Genomic DNA, 21,445 nt, shown 5'->3' with positions numbered 1-21,445 from the left:
GAGGTGGGTGGATCACCTGAGGTCACGAGTTCGAGACCAGCCTGGCCAACATGGTGAAACCCTGTCCCTACTAAAAATACAAAATTAGCTGGGTGTGGTGGCGGGTGCCCGTAATCCCAGCTACTCAAGGGGCTGAGGCAGGAGAATCGCTTGAACCCGGGAGGCAGAGGCTGCAGTAAGCTGAGATCACATCACTGCACTCCAGCCTGGGAGACAGAGCGAGACTCCATCTCAAAAAACAAAACAAAACAACAACAACAACAAAATGACAGGGTCTGGAGTACTTCCAGATTGCTGAACATTCAGAGGTTTTTTTAGGAGAGTGGAACACCCCGAGAGGGTATGGAAGTCCTGCACCCTTTCCCCCATACCTCGCCCTATGCATCTCTTCATCTGGCTGTTCATCTGTATCCTTTATCCTATCTTTCACTGGACAATAAACTGTAAACATAAGTATTTCCCTGAGTTCTGTGAGCCATTGCAGCAAATTATGGAACCCAAGAAGGGGGTTTTGGAAATTCTGATTTTACAGCTGGTCAGTCAGAAGTACTGGCGAAAACCTGGGACTTCATATTGGTATCTGAAATGGGAAAAGTCTTTGGGAGACTGTGCGCTTAACCTGTGAGGTCTGATGGTAACTCCAGGTAGACAGTGTCAGAATTGAATTAAATTGCAAGACACCTAGTTGGTGCCCACTGGAGAATTCATGTGTATGAAGAAATCCCCATATCTGGTTACAGAAGTGTTCTGTGTTGTGTTGAGTGAGAGGATAGTAGGAGAAAACAGTTTGGATCTTCCTGCATTACAGGAACGGCGATAGCTCTCAACACAGCTGGATCTGCATATACTGTCACCAGGAATCGCGACTTTTCTGAATGTACTGGCTTCGTTCCCAGTTGGCACTCTGCACATGGGAGTAAAGACGGCCACCAGAAGGCAAAGCTTCTATCGTACCAGCTTGGAAACCCCAGCTGAGAGCATGTGCCTCTTTCACACTGGTTCCAGAAAAAGTCCCAGAATAGACTCATTGTCTGACTTGGATCATGTGCCTATCACTTAGCCAGTCCCTGAGTTTTCTGCCTGCTCCTGGGACCAGAGTGTGGGTCAGACCACACGCAGCACGTGGATTGAGAGTGAGAAAGAATGAGCTCCAAAGCAAGAGAACGGGGGAAAGATGCCAGAAAGACAGAAACGAAAGATATCCCCAAAGCACAAGCCTTAGCTGTCAACCATTTGAACCCCCAGGATTTTTTCATCCTCAGTTTGATGCATGCTAAATACGGTTTGAAATTCTGTTAAATCACAAAGCGTTGTTCCCATCAAGAATTGGAACATCACCAGCACCCCAGGGCAGCCCCTGTACTCCCTTCCAGGCACTATCCACTGGAAGGTAACCCACCCCGAATTCTAACAGCACAGGTAAGTTTGGCCTGTTCTGATACTTCACATAAATGGAATCACGGCTTGTACTATATTGTGATTGTGCCCTTTTCTGTGTGCATATTATAATTCAATAAAAAGTTTATTTAAAAAGCTGCTCCCGGCCGGGCGCGGTGGCTCACGCCTATAATCCTAGCACTTTGGGAGGCCGAGGCAGGCGCATCACCTGAGGTCAGAAGTTCAAGATCAGTCTGGCCAACATGGCGAAACCCTGTCTCTACTAAAAATACAAAAATTAGCGGAGCGTGGTGGCTCCTGCCTGTAATCCCAGCTCCTCAGGAGGCTAAGGCAGGAGAATTGCTTGAACCTAGGAGGCAGAGATTGCAGTGAGCTGAGATCATACCACTCCACTCCAGTCTGGGTGACAGAGTGAGGCTCTGTCTCAAAAAGTAAAATAAAAATAAAAAGCTGCTCCTGATATTTTCCCTACTCTATGAACATCATAAATTATGGAACTTTCAAGGACCTTCTCAGCTCTCTTAGAAATGGCCTTCTCCAAGGAAACAATCTCTTAGATAGCAAATTCTTTCAAGCATCTGCAGTAAACCACAGGTGGCCAAGTTCACAGGCAGTGGGGCCCATGTGAGGGACCTGCCATGTTTTTTGGCCTCCCACCTCCTTCTGCTCAGCCTTCTGGCCTGGGCTCCATCCTCTTAGAGGTGGGCATTTGAGAAAACATCTCCCTGTGCCGGTCTTTGCATCTGAGGTCAAAGGTGAGCAGAGAACAACCATCAATCAGGCAACAGTTTGCTAGCAAACCTGCAAAAAGCTCATGGATAGGACAAAGAGATGACATCATTGAGTCACCTCAAAATGTGGTCAGGGACCCCTCAGTAATGAAAGTTACAAACTCTTACCCCACCTCTCCACACTGAAGCTCATCTGTGGATAAGCCCTAAGAGTCCATGGATTCCAGGTTTAAAAAAGCTTCTCTGTAGGGCAGAACTAGGGCAAGCCATCAGGTCAGGCTAGCTATAGACAGGATAGCCAGGCTTGGGAGGTAAGGCGCCCCTCCTCTGCTCCAGAATTACGCATGTAGAGGATGAGGGGCCTCTACAAGGTTTGTTCCAGACAGACTTCCTGTGATGGGTGAGAAGACAGATTACATGATTTTTAAGGTTCTTTCTAATGCTCAGATTTCATGATCCTAGCAAAGCTCCTCTAATGGCCCTAATGGCAGCCCAGGAGCTAAACCACTGAAACCAACGCTGAGCCCTCAAAAAGGTAAACACAGAATAACCATATGACTGAGCAATTCCACTCTTAAGTATATGCCCCAATGAACTGATAAGTTATTCAAACAAATACTCAGCATGGATGTTCATAGTAACAAAACAGTGTTGACAGTAGTCAAAAGGTAGAAACAGCCCAAATGTTCATCAACAGATGAATGGATACACAAAATGTGGTGCATCCACATGATAGAATACTATTTGGCCATATAAAGAAATGAAGGTTGGGATACGTGCTACAACACAGACGACAACATTATGCTAAGCGTAAGAAGCCAGACACAGAAGGTCACAGAATACATATAAGTGGAATAATACACAGAAGGTTGTATTATTTCACTTATATAAACCATCCCGAAGAGTTATATCCATAGACACAGGGTTCAGCTTAGTGGTTGCCAAGAGCTGCAGAGGGGCCAATAGCGAGTGACCGCTTAATGGATACAGGGTCTCTTTTGAGGGATGATGAAAATGTTTTGGAATTACACAGACAGTTGCACAACATTGCGGACATACTAAATGCCACTGAATTGTACACTTTAAAATGGTTAATTTTACCTCAATTTAAAAAAATATAAATAAAACCAATCCTGAGTAAGCAGGCTCTGTGCTGCGCTGGGTACCATGGTTGCCTGGTAAATATGGGAGCCCTATCATTCTGGGCCTCTTAACCTCTTAACCACAGCCGTTTCCTGGATTTGGAAATGTAAAACAAAGCAAAACAACATCAACAAAAATACCAGACACCCTGAAAAGGCTCTTTAGCCTCTGAATACCCAAACTGCAGGCTGGAAACAGGAGAGGTAGAAATAAATTAACCACTTGCAAGTCAAAAGGCCAAGCAATTTAGGCTTGCAAATACCTTGGGAGCTCAAACAGAGGCATGAGAAGTATTTTCGCTTTAACTAGAAATTAAGCAAAGAAATTCATTTTGGACCAATTATGACACATACAACCTTGAGAAGACACAATAATATTTAAAGGCCTCAAAATCAATTATTTCATTTAGGCAGATTCAGCAACTGGCTTGGCCAAGAGAACTATCACCCAAATATCCACCCTTTGATTCCTTGAATCAAAGCTTCTTTTTCCTCTTAAACCAATAATGTATCAAATGTTTTAAAATGTAAATAATTTCACCATCCATCTCATGATAAAGCTGGTGACTTTCTCATTTTGAGACTCATTCCAAGACCGTCCTGAAAATACTGATCCCCTAGGTCTGTTGTGTGGGAGGACTCTGTAGCTATTCACCTAGTAGAGATTTCTCCTCCACCCCAACTCCCTTACACACACACACACACACCACACACACACACACACACACACACACACACACACACAAACTCCTGGTGGCTTGGTTTCCTGGAGTATTTATTTATTCCTTGGCTGACTTGTCCTTATGGCGGAGTGGAGGCTGGAGGGCCGACCCTCTCCTGTGGCCCATCTTAACAGAGATACAATTCCTTGCAAAATCACATGTACTCTGCCTCTCATAGACAATACAGTTAGGTCCTGTGGAAATAGTAATTGATGTGTGCATGATGTGGCAATACTGACTCAAGTACTGTTTTAACAGCTGCTCCTCATGGGCTCTAAAATTAGAGGGCAACAAGAAATCATTCACTCCTGGAGCTAACCTACCTACAAGACAGAATTTCCACCCCTTAAGAAGCACGAAGAGTTTTTACTCCTCAAACACTAAATCTTGCTAGAAGTACATAGGAGTCAGGAAAATTAAACAGCAAATAGTTATTAATAACTAACTCTGGGCTGGGCGCAGTGGCTCACACCTGTAATCCCAGCACTTTGGGAGGCTGAGTCAGGCAGATCACCTGAGGTCAGGAGTTCAAGACCAGCCTGGCCAACATGGCGAAACCCTGTCTCTACTAAAAATACAAAAATTAGCTGGGCGTGGTGGCATGTGCCTGTAATCCCAGCTACTCAGAAGGCCGAGACAGGAGAATTGCTTGAACCCAGGAGACAGAGGTTGCAGTTAGCCGAGATCGCACCACTGCCCTCCAGCCTGGGTGACAGAGCAAGATTCAGTCTCAAAACAAAACAAAACAAAACAAAACAAAACAACAGAAGTAACTCTAGGTATGACTCTTGAGATACAAAGAATCACAAGATACACTCTCTGTCCTCTTGGAGTCTGTCAGTTCTTTGGGTAGAAAAGTCATGTATATCATAAACAGATACACTCATTTTGTAAAAACAACCCTCAGGTAAAAAGATTGTTCTGAAGTTGGTGGATGGACAAAAAAAGCTAAGGACAGTCCTCTAACTCCTAACCTCACATTCCTTCCAGGGTAGTAGAAAAAAGGCAGGTCTAGAAAGTAGAACACTCTGAGTTCAAACACCATTCCCACCCTATACAGGCAGTGTGATCTGAGCAACATACTAAGTCTTTCCAAATCTCACTTTTCCATCTGTAAAGTGGGCATGGTGCCACCTATTTTGCAGGGTGATTGTGAGGATCATGTAAGATTTCTATCTCTCGGCCGGGCACGGTGGCTCATGCCTGTAATCCCAGCACTTTGGGAGGCCGAGGCGGGTGGATCACCTGAGGTCAGGAGTTTGAGACCAGCCTAACCAACATGGTGAAACCCCGTCGCTACTAAAAATACAAAAATTAGCCGGGTGTAGTGGCGGGCACCTGTAATCCCAGCTACTCGGGAGGCTAAGAACTGCCTGAATCCAGGAGGCGGAGGTTGCAGTTAGCCGAGATCGCACCATTGCACTCCAGCCTGGGCAACAAGACTGAAACTCTGTCTCAAAAAAAAAAAAAAAAAAAAAGATTTCGATCACTTTCATGTAAGGCTATGTATCTCATTTGATTAATACATATACTAATAGACCATAGAAGATGCACATTGCGGCCGGGCGCGGTGGCTCAGCCTGTAATCCCAGCTACTCTGGTGGCTGAGGCACAAGAATCGCCTGAACCCAGGAGGCACAGGTTGCAGTGAGTTGTGATTGTGCCACTGCACTCCGGCCTAGGTGACAGAGAGAGAGAGAGACTCTGTCTCAAATAAAATAAAATAAAATAAACAAGATGCACATTGCATAATAGGTATAATAAAAATACCACATGGAATAGAAATTAATCAATAATGATGCATAAAATAGCTATGAATAGGACGCCAACTTTGTTGCATACATCATTTCAATCCTCCCAACAACTCTCTTAGTCATTTTATAAATGAAATATCATTTCATGGCCATTGCAACAAATGTCCGTGGGTAAACAAATCTGTGCAACCAAGAAGCATGTAACTCTCTGAATTTTCCTAGGCTAGATCAAAGCTATAACGAAGCATCAGATCGAATGTGGTCACTATCATCTTTGCCCCACCACCATTAGCACTCGCAAGGAGCATCCAAAATCAAGTGCCCTTCAACATCTAGACAGCCAGATGACTTGCATAAGAGCATTTGGGTTTTACATTCAGCTTAAAATACGCCACTCCTTCTCCTTTTCTCCTCTTCCAAATTCTTTTTTTTAATGTAACAAGGATTTATTCACAGGAATACATGTAAGTAGAGAAAAATACTCTCCTTAGGGCAGCATTTCTCAAGGGGTGTGTGTGTGATTTTGCTCCCAGGGGGACATTTGGCAATATCTGGAGACATACTCAGTGGTCATGTGTGTCTGTGTAATGGGGACATGGGGGAGTGCTGTGCTATTGGCATCTAGTGCATAGAGGCCAGAAGATGCTGCCAAGTCCCTCACCCCAGCCAAACAAAGAATCACCCCACCCAAAATGTCAATAATGCTGAGAAATCATGCTTTAGAATCAGAGAAGAAATTTTCGACTTCTTTGCAACTATAGCACATGCCCATAGGTGGTCAGCGACGGTCTTCTGCCTGATCTTTTTTTTTTTTTTTTTTTGAGACAGAGTCTGGCTCTGTGGCCCAGGCTGGAGTGCAGTGGTGCGATCTTGGCTCACTGCAAGCTCTGCCTCCTGGATTCACACCATTCTCCTGCCTCAGCCTCCTGAGTAGCTGGGACTACAGGGGCCCACACCACACCCGGCAAAATTTTTTGTATTTTTAGTAGAGACGGGGTTTCACCGTGTTAGCCAAGACGGTCTCGCATCTCCTGACCTCGTGATCCGCCCGCCTCGGCCTCCGGAAGTGTTGGGTTTACAGGTGAAGCCACCGCGCCCGGCCTTTCTTTTTTTTTTTTTTTTGAGATTGAGCTTTGCTACTTGTTGCCCAGGTTGGAGTGCAATGGCACGATCTCGGCTCACTGCAACCTCTGCCTCCCGGGCTCAAACGATTCTCCTGCCTCAGCCTCCTGAGGAGCTGGGATTACAGGTGCCCACCACCATGTCCGGCTAATTGTTTGTATTTTTAGTAGAGACATGGTTTCACCATGTTGACCATGGCTGGTCTCAACTCAGGTGATGCGCCCGCCTCGGCCTCCCAAAGTGCTGGGATTACAGGCGTGAGCCACCGCGCCCGGCCATGTGACCTTATAGCAAGAGCCCAGCTTCATTATATGCAGGCTGGTATATTTGCAGTGGGAGGTAGTATTGGAGGAAAGAAGAATTTCAACCAACCCCACTCTCACAGTGGCCCAAAAGGCATCTCACCAAGATGAAGAAATACAGTCCAAGTCAAGCAGCCATCAAGCTCATGCCTATTCTTGGCAAGGAATTTCTCACTTGGCTCTTCAGATAGCTTGGATATTTGTTCCTGCTGAAATCTCATATTAAAATGTAATCCCCAGCGCTGGAGGTGGGGCCTGGTGGGAGGTGTTTGGACGGTGGGGGTGGATCGCTCATGGCTTGGTGCTGTCTTCGTGATAGTGAGTGAGCTCTTCTTGCAAGATCTGGTCGTTTAAAATTGTGTGGCACCCCCACCCTTTCTCTCTCTCGCATGCTCCTGCCATGTGAAGTGCCTGCTTCCGCTTCACCTTCTGCCATGAGTAAAGGCCTCCCTGAGGCCCCCCAGAAGCTGAGCAGATGTTGGCACCATGCTTCCTGTAAAGCCTGCAGAACTACAAGGCAATTAAACCTCTTTTCTTTATAATTTACCCGGTCTTAGGTATTTCTTTATAGCAATGGGACAACGGCCTATTACAGCTCCTTACTATCTGAATGGTAGATAGCTTTCTGGGCCAAACTTGTGCTCTAGAACACAGTGGAGTGTACAGGTCAAAGCCTCAAATAGGATGGTCTTCCCCAGGTCTAAGCCCAGGCCGGCCCTGCCCACCCTCTGTCCTCCTGCAATCCTCCCAGATCTGCTGAGGGGTACAAAAACTTTGTCCAGGCAACTTTGATCTGGGTTTCTCATCTTCAAGTTGATCCTCCTCTTCCCAAATGAAACCTACGCGTGCTGGGTAATATACTTTTTTTTGGAGATGGAGTTTCGCTCTTGTCTCCCAGGCTGAAGTGCAATGGCACAATCTTGGCTTACTGCAACGTCCACCTCTTGGGTTCAAGTGATTCTCCTGCCTCAGCCTCCTGAGTAGCTGGGATTACAAGCATGCATCACCACACCCAGCTAATTTTTGTATTTTTAGGAGAGACAGGGTTTCACCATGATGGCCAGGCTGGTCTTGAACTCCTGACCTCAGGTGATCTGCCTGCCTTGGCCTCCCAAAGCGGTGGGATTATAGGCGTGAGCCACCGCGCCCGGCCCATGCTGGGTAATATACTACTACTGTACGCATAAAAAGGTGGCAACGGCATGTGCAAGCATCACTCCCTGGCCCTGGAAGTTAACTCAGAGCAGGCACTTCTCCTCACAATCTACAGATAAGGAAAGGCAGGCTCAGGACGGAGTGAGTTTCCCCAAGTTACACAGCCAAGGGGAGGCAGTAGGGCTCCAGAGCTGTGCTCCTGCCTTCTCGGTTCAGCACGCTTTCTACTCCATTATGCATCTGCAGGGAAGACCCAGGAGTATCCAAGACTGCCTATTTCATCATCTGTTACGCATGCGGCAGAGAGTGGAGACCCAGGCAGCTGGAGGAACGGCCCTGTGAGAAGAGATTGTATAGTCCTAGAAAAAGACCAACTGGAAGACCACGGCGTAGCAGAAGCCATTCCGGCAATGAGAGATTCAAACACCAAAGTGGATCTTTTTCAAGATCTAAATCCAAATCAAGATCACGGTCCAAGTCCCAGCCCAAGAAAGAAATGAAGGCTAAATCACGTTGCAGGCCTGCATCTCATACCAAAACTAGAGGCATCTCTAAAAACAGATTCCAAAGCACATTACAAGTCTGGCTCAAGATATGAAAAGGAATCAAGGAAAAAAGGACCACCTAGATCCAAATCTCAGTCAAGATCATAGTCTAGGTCTAGGTCAAAATCTAGATCAAGGTCTTGGACTAGTCCTAAGTCCAGTGGCCCCTGGTAGTATAAACCATGATCATTTTTAGACATGGATCATTCATTTACTCATAGTTTTATTTACTTAAATTATCAGGAATACAATGTTGCAATGATGCTTAAAAAACACTTGTTAGTTTTCCCTGTATCAGGCAATGGTTATAATTAAAACAATATGCTGTTGAGAAGCCACTCTTTTTTTTTTTTTTTTTTTTGAGATGGAGTTTTGCTCTCGTCCCCCAGGCTGGAGTGCAATGGCATGATCTTGGCTCACCACAACCTCCGCCTCTCGGGTTCAAGTGATTCTCCTGCCTCAGCCTCCCAAGTAGCTGGGATTACAGGCGTGTGCCACCACGCCTGGCTAATTTTTTTTTGTTGTATTTTTAGTAGAGATGGGGTTTCTCCATGTTGGTCAGGCTGGTCTCGAACTCTTGACCACAGGTGATCCATCCGCCTTAGCCCCCCAGAATGCTGGGATTACAGATGTGAGCCACCGTGCCTGGCTGAGAAGCCACTCTTAGGAGTCCAGTTTGTTTAATGTCATGGACAGCTACCAATTTGTGGTGTCTCTGTATATTTCTATAAAAATTCTCATGTTTTATGCTTGAAGTATTTGGTGAAAAGATGTTAGTTGACCATAATTTGCAACACTGTCTTATTAAAAATAAACTTTCATATTCATATTTGGTAGAACCGCTAACCTAGAAATGTAGCTTGCTAATAAGACAGAATGATACAAAAGTGAGGTGGTAGCCACAGTACAACACTGACTGGCCAGATGCATTTAGGTTCAGGGTGGACCTTTATGTCTTGTCAAGATGTCTAGGCCCATGATCATTATTTATGATGCAGCGTGGATTTGTTTTTTTGTTAACCCCACTGTCTTGGGGAATGATGCCAACTGGGTTACACAGTATTTTCAGGGAGTTTTTTTTTTTTTTTTTTTTTTTTGAGACGGAATTTCACTCTTGTTGCCCAGGCTGGAGTGCAATGGCACGATCTCGGCTCACTGCAAACTCCACCTCCCGGGTTCAAGCGATTCTCCTGCCTCAGTCTTCAGAGTAGCTGGGATTACAGGTATGCGCCACCATGGCCAGCCAATTTTTGTATTTTTAGTAGAGACGGGGTTTCTCCATGTTGGTCAGCTGGTCTCGAATTCCCAACCTCAGGTGATCCGCCCATCTCGGCCTCCCAAAGTGCTGGGATTACAGGCGTGAGCCACTGCGCCCGGCCTTTTAGGGAGATGGAGTCTTTGACTGAAACATGGAGACTTCATGACTTTTTTCTGGTTCCCATGAAGATTTGGAACATAGAAAACATCACAAAAGCTCACCTTAAAATTTGAGCAGGTTGATGATGGCCAAAAGGATTGTAAGGGGAAAATAATGTTCCTATGAAGTTACGCTAAAGTTTAAGGAGTATTGTTGACCATAATATTGCTTAGTTTTTTTACAGCTGTTAGAAGCAAGTAAATTGTTTCAAAGTAGGTTCTGTGTGTGTGTGTGCACTGTGTAAAAGAATTGAAATTTTGATGTTTACAGCACTTGGCCTGTGCATTTATATCAAAATTTCCTGCCTCTTCATGAGAGAGGCTTGCCTTTCACACCTCAGTTTATTCAAAAAGAGGCAAGTTGAGGGCTGGGCACGGTGGCTAACACCTGTAATCCCAGCACTTTGGGAGGTCGAGGTGGGCGGATCGCCTGAGATCAGGAGTTCGAGACCAGCCTGGCCAACATGGTGAAACCCCGTCTCTACTAAAAATACAAAAATTAGCCAGGCGTGGTGGTGGGCGCCTGTAATCCCAGCTGCTCGGGAGGCTGAGGCAGGAGAATCACTTGAACTGGGGAGGCGGAGGTTGCACTGAGCCAAGATCGCGCCATTGCACTCCAGCCTGGGTGACAAGAGCGAGACTTCGTCTCAAAAAATAATAAAAATAATAATAATAATAAAATAAGAGGCAAGTTGAAAGACAACACTCTCACTCTAGGTGATTCTGTGGTGCTATGAAATTTAAAATAATTTTGGAAAAAGGATCAGTCAGTTTTAAGCAAGAGTCACATCTTTTGAGTTTTTGGTTATCAGTGTAATACCTGACTAAAAATAAACAAGTAATACCTTTAACCATTGATAATTTCTAGTATTTCTCTGAAAGATTGTTTTGGGGACAAAAGTGACTTGACATGTCCAATCTCATTCCAGAAAAAAAAAACAAAACAAAAAACTAGCATCTTAAAAAATCTCAGATTGCTTGCTTACAGAAATAAGTAAGAATTATCATGGAGAAATGATTCTTTTTAAAGGATTATTTTTTTCAGTTTTGGTGTTAGTAATCTAGGCTTCGCCTGTAAAGAACAAAACAATGGTTTTTAAATACTGTTTGCGGAATGTGTTTAAAGGATTGACTCTAGAATCTTTGTATATTTGAGAGTATTTCTAACTTTCATTTCTTTACTGTTTTCAGTTAATGTTCATGTTCTGCTATGCAATCATTTATATGCACGTTTCTTTAGATTTTCCTGGATGTATAGTTTAAACAACAAAAAGTCTATTTAAAACTGTGGCAGTGGGCCAGGCACGGTGTCTCACGCCTGTAATCCCAGCACTTTGGGAGGTTGAGGAGGGTGGATCACCTGAGGTCAGGAGTTCACGACCAGCCTGGACAACATGGTGAAACCCATCCCTACTAAAAATACAAGAATTAGCCAGGTGTGGTGGTGGGCACCTGTAATCCCAGCTACTTGGGCAGCTGAGCAGGAGAATCGCTTGAGCCCGGGAGGCAGAGGTTGCAGTGAGCTGAGATTGCGCCACAGCATTCCAGCCTGGGCAACAGAATGAGATTCTGTCTCAAAAAAAAAACAACAAAAAAACAACCCACAAAAAACTGTAGCAGTAGTTTGCAGTTCTAGCAAAGAGGAAAGTTGTGGGGTTAAACTTTGTATTTTCTTTCTTGCAGAAGCTTCTAAAAAGGCATTTTTATATGTTCTTTTTAACAAATCTTGTGTACAACTTTTAAAACATCAATGTTTGGATCAAAACAAGACCCAGCTTATTTTCTGCTTGCTGTAAATTAAGAAAACATGCTGTAATAAAAACAAAATGAAGGGGAAAAACATAAAAGATAAGAAGAAATCAGCTGTACAGAGTGGAGAGGGTGGGAGGGTTCCAGGGGAGGGGGCAGGCTGTCCGTCCAGGCAGTGGGAGAGCTCCTGAGCCAGGAACCCAAGGGCGTGCTTGAGGAATGGCTTGAAGGTTAGTGTGGCCAGCCAGCCAAGGTGAGAGGGAGGAGCAGAGTGTGCGGTGTGGTGAGGGGCTGCCTCATGCAAGGCCTTGAATTTTGTCTAAGAGCAATGGGAAACCAGCACTGGAAAGTTTTATGCAAAAGAGACATTTTTGTTGTGAAATATTTGGCTACAGTGAGAACGGTCTAGAGAAAAGCAATGTGAGGTTGTCTAGGCTGGAGGGAGCAGCCTTGCTTGGGGATGGAAGCAGTGCACCTGGGGAGAAGAAGACATTCAAGATGATGTTGAGCTCGAGCAGACAGGGCTTGCTGATGGATAGCTTGTGGGGTGAGAGAGGGAGGAACGAAGGCTGGGCTATGTGTCTGAGTTAAGCCAATTACTAAGGGATGCAATTTATGGAGATGAGGAAATCCAGAGGAGAAACAGATTTAGGGGGAAGTAGAGTCCCATATACCAGCTCTGTAAACCGATCTCCGCCATTAAAATATCCTCATTCTCAGCCTCCTCATTATTAATAAATATTTATTGACCAAACACAACTGCAAGGCACTGCTAAGACTCATTTTTTTTTTTGAGACAGCTAAGCCTCATTTTTTTTAAGAATCTAAGATAGGGAAGGCAGAAAAAAATTGCAAAGCATTAGGCATAATTTAATTGCATTTGAGGTTGGTTACTTTTTTAAAGATAGCCCATAAATATATACATGCTAGTTATGGAGCGACTTGTACGTTTCACTTTATCCTTTCCTTTCCTTATTAGTTTCCTAATACTTTTTCTAAAAAAAAAAAAAAAAAAAAAGAGGCAGTTATTTGGTGTCAGGCTTTGCATTTCTAAAAAGCCCCTCTGAAAAGGCACTGTATATTTCCTACTGGAAGCCCTAACCTGTTAGGACATCTGAAGAAAACAGAGTTGGGAGTGAGAAGGACACAAGCAAAGCCAACTATGTGGACAGCCCTATGAGGGGAGGGCCTGAGCACTTTCCAGGCAGTTCTCACACGGGTTCTCTCCAATCTATCTTTTCTTCTGGCTTCATCTGTTTCCATTTTCCTAATCTGGCATACTCACTGTGGAGGCACCTTAAAGTCAGACAGTGAGGGTCCTTGTTCTTATTTAACTCTAAGCTGCTCCTCTCTTGCTTCATCCATCAGGATGTGCTCAGTCATCCATCACCTCCTCCAGGAAGCCTTCCCTGACCACGCCAGTCTGTTAACAACTCCCTTACTGGTCTTCACTGTTGGGGCTCAGAAAATAACCCAAAATGAAAGCATAGGAAGCAGCGCACTCCAACCTCCTCCTGCCTTGTTGTCTCTGCCTCTCTCGTTTTCCCCCACCAGCCCAAGGCTACCCACAGAAACTAGAATGACTTTTCCCCAAGGTGGTTCATAGAAACCAGAACCCCTATTCTTCAAAGCCAGCCATAAAACCTAAAAATATTACCCTAACTCCCACCTTCTCCCCAACCTTTGTGTAAAAACTGTCCATAAAGAAACTATCTGACCTATCTTGTTTGATTGTAGGTCATAAGACTCCCCTTCCAGAGAGGGTCCTGCCCCATCCCCAGGAGGAAAGAACACTGCACAGAGAGGCCAAGTAGAAGTTACACAGATAGGACTTGCTAGGTTTCCCCACTCAGTCAATTCATGCTAGATCATATGCTTTTTGTCCAATCATATTTCTTCATGGCGGTCCAAACTTTGTTAAACCTAAGCATGAAAATGGACACTTTCCCCTGTATCTTTGGGTCTTCATTCTGAAGGCTCCCGTGTCACATAAAACTATGGTGAAATAAATTTGTATTCTTTTCCTCCTATTAATCTGCCCTTTGTCAGCTGATTTGCAGTGAATCTTCAGAGGCAAAGGGGAAGTTTCCCTATATCATCATGACATAAGCATACCTCGAGTATAGCATTTTTTTCACTATGTTGTGATGTTTCTGAATGTATGTCTGTTTATTCCATTAGACTGGGAGCTTAGAATGGATACCTGCTATGCTTTTTGGTTACTCATTGCCTTTCCACATTCTATTTGCAGAAGTTCCCTTCTTCTGATTCTGCACATCTTTAAGGCAGATGCCAGAAACTTGCTTTCCCAGCTGCCCTTGCAGCTAAGATGTAGACACGTGATCTGGGCTCTGCCAATTAGAAGAGAGAGAGGTGGAGAAGCAATTGTCTTCTGGAAGCCATTTTGTCAAAGGCAGTTACAGACACCCAACTTCAGGAGACAACAGCTGAGCAGGTTAAAGTAGTGTCTTGTACTCAGCATCCAGCATTGGTGCCAGGGCACTGATATGAGTGAAAGATCTCCACTGGGGCAGCGCATTGCCTGGACTGGCTGCTTTGCTTCCAGGCCAATTCTGCCTCTGCTGGAGCTGCTTTAATAAATAACCTCTTTGCTTAAACCAACTAGAGTTGATTCTGTGTTTTGCAACTAAAATTCTTAACTGGTAACTGAGGTCCTCAAGGCAGAGATCGAGTTTCATTTACTTCTCTATCACTAGTCTCTAGCAAAATGTTATGCATATTCAAGGGCCTCAATCAATTATTGCTGATTAAATGACTAAATGAAAAAAAAATGGATGGAGAAGCTAGACTGTAAATGATTAGCTTCTCAAGTCCTCTTTCTTTCAGTAATCATTGAAAAGTACTATTTGTTCCCTAAATCTTCTAATTAGAGAAGACACAGGGATTTTGCTTCCCTTAATGATTCTCCAACTATGTTCCTTTGGAATACTAGTGATGTTTCTATTGCTAAAACTGAATAATAGTGAGTTTTTCCAAATATATAGAAATAATTTATTTAGTACAAGGAGTTTTGTCAGTTTCAAGCTGTCACTCAGAAACTTTAAAACTCTGGCACCTGCTACTGTTTTGTCGGCAAGTTCAGTGGATGAAAAAATAATTGTGCAAGTAAGCAAGTATTATAGCAAAAACTCAAAACCTCTAGTCTGCTTAGTTCCACAGTTTTCCCCTTTTCTGTGCCCATTCTGTTTGCTGGAATTTTACCTAATAGATTGCACACTTCACACAGCATCCTATTTTCCGCTAGTAAAGTTGCTCCTAGATCATATAGTGGAATCCAATGACTCAACATTTTATTGAATAGACACCATTGACTCACAAATTATTGGCCACCTGAATATTTGTGAGAACACCAATTCAAAGGCCTTCCTAACACCGTGCTACCCTTTTGTTACAAGCTGAATTGTGACCCCTGCCACAAATTCATATGTTGAAACTAACTTCTAGTACCTCAGAATGTGACTGTATTTAGAGATAGTGTCTTTAAAGAGGTCACTGAGTTAACATGAGGCGGTTAGGCAGGGTGCTGTGGCTCACACCTGTAATCCCAGTACTTTGGGAGGCCAAGGCAGACGGATCACAAGGTCAGGAGATGGAGACCATCCTGGCTAACGTGGTGAAACCCTGTCTCTAACTAAAATACAAAAAATTACCTGGGTGTGGTGGCATGCGCCTGTAATTCCAGCTACTCGGGAGGCTGAGACAGGAGAATGACTTGAACCCAAGAGGTGGAGGTTGCAGTGAGCCGAGATCGTGCTACTGCACTCCAGCCTGGAGACAGAGCAAGACTCCATCTCAAAAAAAAAAAAAAAAAAAAAAAAATGAGGCTGTTACAGTGGGCCCTAATCCAACCTAACTAGTGGCTTTATAAGAAGAGGAGATTAGGACACAGAGAGAGATACCAGGGATGCGTAAGCACAGAAGCAGACACAGCAAGAAGGTGGCCATCTGCAAGACAAGGAAACAGGCCTCAGAAGAAACCAAACCTGCCAACACCTTGATCTTGGACTTCCAACCTCCAGAACTGTGGGATAATAAATGTCTGTTGTTCAGCCACACGGCCTGTGGTACTTTGTTATGGCAGCCCAGGCAGACTAAGATGCCTTTCTTTCAGGCCTCCCAGCCTCAAATTGGAGCCTGCAGACTCAGACCATGCAACCTGGACTGGAGCTTCTGGCTACCAAACCTTCTTCCCCCAGGCCCATCTGCCTCTTGCCTCAGTTTATTCTCCACACCCTGGGCTGGGAAGATGGAAGATCAAATTACAGCCCTGCACTGGGAAACACACAGGGTTGTCCTCCATAAATCAGCAGATTCCCAACTCACCAACCCCACTGGGAAGTCACTCCTTGACACACGCATCCTGCCCTCCTTAGCGTCTTACCTTCCTTCCTCTGCTCTTTTACAGCACCAAAACCAGCGAAAAGAGTGACCTTTAAATTCCATTAATGCAAGAATGAGTTATAGGGAGGAGCTGACAGGACTGTCAAACCAGACCCCTTCAGAAGGCCCCAAGGGAAATTAGGAGAAGGAGAGGCGAGGAAAAGAGGCAAAGAGGAGCTGGGAGGGGCCGAGCCAAACTGTCTACCACAAATTTGTCCCTGGGACTTGTGCTGGCTCCAGGCTCCTTCCAGAGACAGTGGTTTCCAGGGACGACAGAGCATCTGAAGCAAGACTCCCTGGGTGGCAAAGCCCCCGGAAGGGCTCCCGCCTTCCCTCCTGCACTGTCCCCTCCCAGATGCCCACCAGCAGCTGGTGACAGCTGCTCTGAGTTAGTGCTCAGGCTCTGCGTGGCACAGAGGACAACGGAATGGGGACGTCCCACTCTAACCAGGCCTCTAGGAGGGGCTGGTGGAGGACAGCCACATGGCATCTCTCATTACTGTCAGTGGAGATGGAGAAGAGACAAATTCAGGGACAGCTTCACAAGGTAGAATGCACCAAACTTGAAGGCTGGGGAGGTTAAGGGGGAGGGAGGCAGGGACAAGCGAGGTGCTAAGGTCACTCAAGTTCTGGCTTAAGTGGCCAGGTAAGCTACTGGCACCTTTCTCTGGTAGCAAAGACCCTAGGACAAGTAGGTTTGGACATGACTGTGGCTTTTAATAGGGCAATGATTGTGTTATAATAAATATATGTATGCATCTCTTTCCCAGGCTAGACTGCATTCTCCTTGAGGGCAGAGACAGCGATTTAGGCACATCTATGTATTCCAGTCACAAGTTTGAAGCATTCATTCAGCACTTATGGAACAAACATTAACTGAGGGCCTCCACACACCCAGGACTAGCTCCAATACCACACTGGGTCTAGACTCGCAAAGGCCAGACACAACGGGCACTCAATACACGCTGTCTCTTGGATAAATATTTTAAAGGATGATCTATTGACTCTTTTTTTTAATTTTCTTTATTCTTAATGTTTTGGCATCTGGGGCCTTGTTGACTGGGGAGAGACTTCCTCTTCTAGAGCTAGCCAATTCTTAGAGATAAAAAACCACTTACCTTTGTACACCTTTCATATGTTAACCGATCAATCAAGAGGCCTTCCTATCCCCTCTCACCGCCACCCCACCCCAACAACCTCTTTGAACTCTCACACAGGGCCCCCTGCCCTAATCATCCAGGGCCAGGTATTAAACCACTAGGGACAGCCCCTGCACCCCAAAGGCCACTAAAATTATTCAAACTTGCCAATTCTATTTTTTATATTTTTCCGAGACTGAGTCACCCTCTGTCACCCAGCCTGGAGTGCAGTGGCACAATCTCAGCTCACTGCAACCTCTACCTCCTGGATTCAAGCAACTGTCCTGCCTCAGGCTCCCGAGTAGCTGGGACTACAGGTGCCCACCACCACACCCGGCTAATTTTTGTATTTTTAGTAGAGACAGGGTTTCACCATGTTGGCCAGGCTAGTCTCGAACTCCTGACCTCAAGTGATCAGCCCGCCTTGGCCTCCCAAAGTGCTGGCATTACAGGTGTGAACCACCGCGCCTGGCCTACAACAAACTGCCAATTCTAAACCTGCTTACCCTGCCTTGCCCATTCCTTGCCTCAAAAACCACAATAAAGACATTTCCCCACACTTTCCCCTCAATTTCCTTCTGCCTCCTGACCCAGTGTGTCCAGGTGTGGCCCCGTGTGGCATTCTGGGCCTCTGTTTCTAAGGATCTGTGAGTATAAGCTTCTTTCTTCATGATAGCCATTTCCATGTCTGTGTCTCTTACCATACCTGATTAAAACAGATCCCGGGTACATTTTAAAACAGATGGCTGAATGTGAATAAGCATTCAGTAACTGTAAATTAACAACTCATTCCTTCCAAGCAGTGCAAAGTACATCCTCTTCAAAAGAGAGAAAAGAGGCGTTGGTTCTATCTGTCATTATGTTGAAATTGAATGGAAGTGAGAGAGAAAGCTAGTTTTGGGAGAAGATGGGCCAAATTCACATATAGGCAGTCCCTAATCTACTGTGAGATCATGGATTTGGGGCAAGAATGAAGAGCAAAGAAATAGCAGAAGAGGGGCCTTCTCCATATACCCTGTAGAGCTTTGCACGGGCTGAGAGAATGCAGGAAGATTCAGTCAACATTTGCTACATCAACGTCAAGAATCAACCTTTTCAGGAATGACTTCACAAAAGCCATGTAAACAAACAAAGAGATGAAGGAATCAGCTCTTTTATGGTATTTATTTCTTAATGGTGGCATCAGAAACTCCCGTTAGTCCAGAATGATGAAATGAGATCGTGGGTACACAAAGCATGTGGCACAGTGGCTGGTATCAACAAATTATACTTGAATGCTCAACAAATTATACTTGTTACTGCTGTTGTTCTTAGCAATTGGTAAAATGGAGTCTGTGACTAAGTGGCTTTTCTAGTGAACAACTTTTAGGGGACCAGCTACCAAAAAGTCAATAAAATTAATTCATCTGACATTGTGGCTGAGCCACATACAATTTTATCTTCCTTTGATGATTCTGAATTTACTTTAAGATGTCATCCAGCTTCTAGTATGTCATAAATAACATTAATTGCCTCTGTATCTTAATGATCACAAAATAGATCCTGATTTATTTGGTTCCGGGATGTGCACAAGGAAACTCAGTGGGGATGCTGGATGACCCATAGAATCACTGGACCAGAAAGAAGCATGACTTTCCCATGGGGCATCCAAAAACCTATGAACCTTCCCAGGTATGTCAGCCATGTGTGTTTGTCTCCAGGGAAGAACCAATCTAATCTTGAAGAATTAGTTTCTTCAAGAAACTTCTTGTATAAAGCCCTCTCTACTACAAAGCCCTCTCTACCAGAGACCGGAGAGGAACAGACAGAAATCAGATATCTAAGAGTCCTGCCCAAAATGAAGATGTTGACTTTTCCCACCTTGCCCTATCAACCCATGGACCAACCCAGGTTCCACAGAACCAGGCATTTTCTTTCTTTCTTTTTTTTTTTTTTTTAGACAGAGTGTCGCTCTGTTGCCTAGGCTGGAGTGCAGTGGCGAGATCTCGGCTCACTGTAAGCTCCGCCTCCAGGGTTCACTCCATTCTCCTGCCTCAGCCTCCCGAGTAGCTGAGACTACAGGCGCCCACCACCACTCCTGGCTAATTTTTTTGTACTTTTAGTAGAGACGGGGTTTCACCGTGTTAACCAGGATGGTCTCAATCTCCTGACCTCGTAATCTGCCCGTCTCAGCCTCCCAAAGTACTAGGATTACAGGCGTGAGCAACTGCGCCTGGCCCCAGGCATTTTATTTCTTAGAAATAAAGTAACATAAATTATGTGTCTGTTTCTTCACATTTGTCTCTAGGGACTTTATATGCCCAAACAGATGAACTCAAATAGAGCAGTACATGACTCAAAGGAATTCTGCCAAATCCACTTTCTCAGTTTTGAGTTGCAGATATGGGATTATAAGCACCGGATAAACATTAGCTCTCCAGCAACACAAAGAAACAAAACCTTTCCTTGGACGGTATGAGGTTGCATAACAGGGATGCTTGATCACCTGTTCCCATTCCCATAACACCTCCAAAAGTTTCTCCTACCTCCTCAATGACACTATTTCCCTTTCTGGAGTCTTTAAACATCCCCCATCCATCTACCAGAATATTGATAGAAGCATCTACATGATCATTCAAACAACAAGGACTGTGGAAGCCGAGACACAAGCGGAACCCACAGATACAGCATTAGGAATCACTCATGCATCAGCCCTGGTTGCCTGACAACCTCAATCAGAACCAGCCTCTGGGGGTACCTGACCCACAGTTCTGCTTCAGCCCTAGCTGGCCACCCTTATGTCCAATCCAGGCAAACTTTCCTGGAAAAACTTACTGAGCCAACCTAGTGGCTACAAACCTATTTCCATCACTGATGCCTGTTTGCAGGGAAAGACAAATTCAATAGGTTCAAATCTTCTCCTGATGCTTGTCTTTAGTCACTGTGATTAAAGAGAAATGCCAGTGTACTTACTGAGTATCAGAAGGATGGATACCATCTTAGTCCATTTGTGATGCTATAAAGGAATACCTGAGGCTGGGTGATTTATAAAGAAAAGATGTTTATTTGGCCCATGGTTCTGCAGGCTGTACAAGAAGCATGGTGCTGGCATCTGCATCTGGTGAGCATCTCAAGATGCTTCTGCTCATGGTAAAATGGAAAGTGGAGTGGCCATGCGTGGTGGCTCACACCTGTAATCCCAGCGCTTTGGGAGGCCAAGGCAGGTGGATCACCTGAGGTCAGGTGTTTGAGACCAGCCTAGCCAACATGGTGAAACCCTGTCTCTATTAAAAATACAAAATTAGCTGTGTGTGGTGGCACACGCCTGTAGTCCCAGCTACTTAGGAGGGGAGGGAGGTGCCAGGCTCTTTTTAACAATCAGCTCCCACAGGAACTAATAGAGGAAGAACTCACTCATTACCACAAGGACAGCACCAAGCCATTCATGACGGATGTACCTGCATGACCCCAACACCTCCAGTTAGGCCCAACGTTAGGGATCAGATTTCAACATGAGATTTGCAGGGCTCAAATATCCAAACCATAGCAGATACCAAGATGTATTCTTGATTTCAATGATCAAGCAGCCTAACTGGGAATAATTAGTATGCAGATGAAAAGATAATTAACAATGCACAGTAGTATCTCATGGTGGAAAATCACTTAGCCCAAGGTTATAGAAATCCAGAAGCTAGGGTCGTCCAGCAGAGCGTAGAGAAGGAGGCAGACCTCTAAGGCCAGGCAGGCTGCAGGCAGTCGCTGAGAAGGAAGCCAGCCCTGCAAACAGGGCATTTGGGAAAACACATGGCAAATGTTGAGACCAATGAATATACCTGTCTCCCTTCTGGTGAGACCAGAGCATGGTCAGACCCAGGTATGGAATAAATCTA

At 44.9% G+C, this 21,445-nt stretch overlaps 1 protein-coding gene across 6 annotated transcripts in view, besides 1 other annotated feature; it reads right to left on the bottom strand.

Annotated features, from left to right (window-relative positions):
• The window catches only part of PDZD2 (PDZ domain containing 2), a 471,802-nt gene that overhangs the window by 376,362 nt on the left and 73,995 nt on the right, over window positions 1–21,445 (bottom strand). The window lies entirely within an intron of this gene.
• Window positions 17,369–17,891: an enhancer, noted in NCBI's record as "OCT4-NANOG hESC enhancer chr5:31716787-31717309 (GRCh37/hg19 assembly coordinates)". NCBI's record gives its function as "activates a minimal SCP1, AML or CMV promoter by ChIP-STARR-seq in naive H9 embryonic stem cells {active_cell/tissue: H9 hESC(naive)}" and the evidence as "EXISTENCE:reporter gene assay evidence [ECO:0000049][PMID:30033119]".

This window comes from Homo sapiens, chromosome 5, assembly GCF_000001405.40.
Source record: "Homo sapiens chromosome 5, GRCh38.p14 Primary Assembly".
NCBI lineage: Eukaryota > Metazoa > Chordata > Mammalia > Primates > Hominidae > Homo > Homo sapiens.
This window is presented reverse-complemented; position numbering and strand designations above follow the sequence as displayed.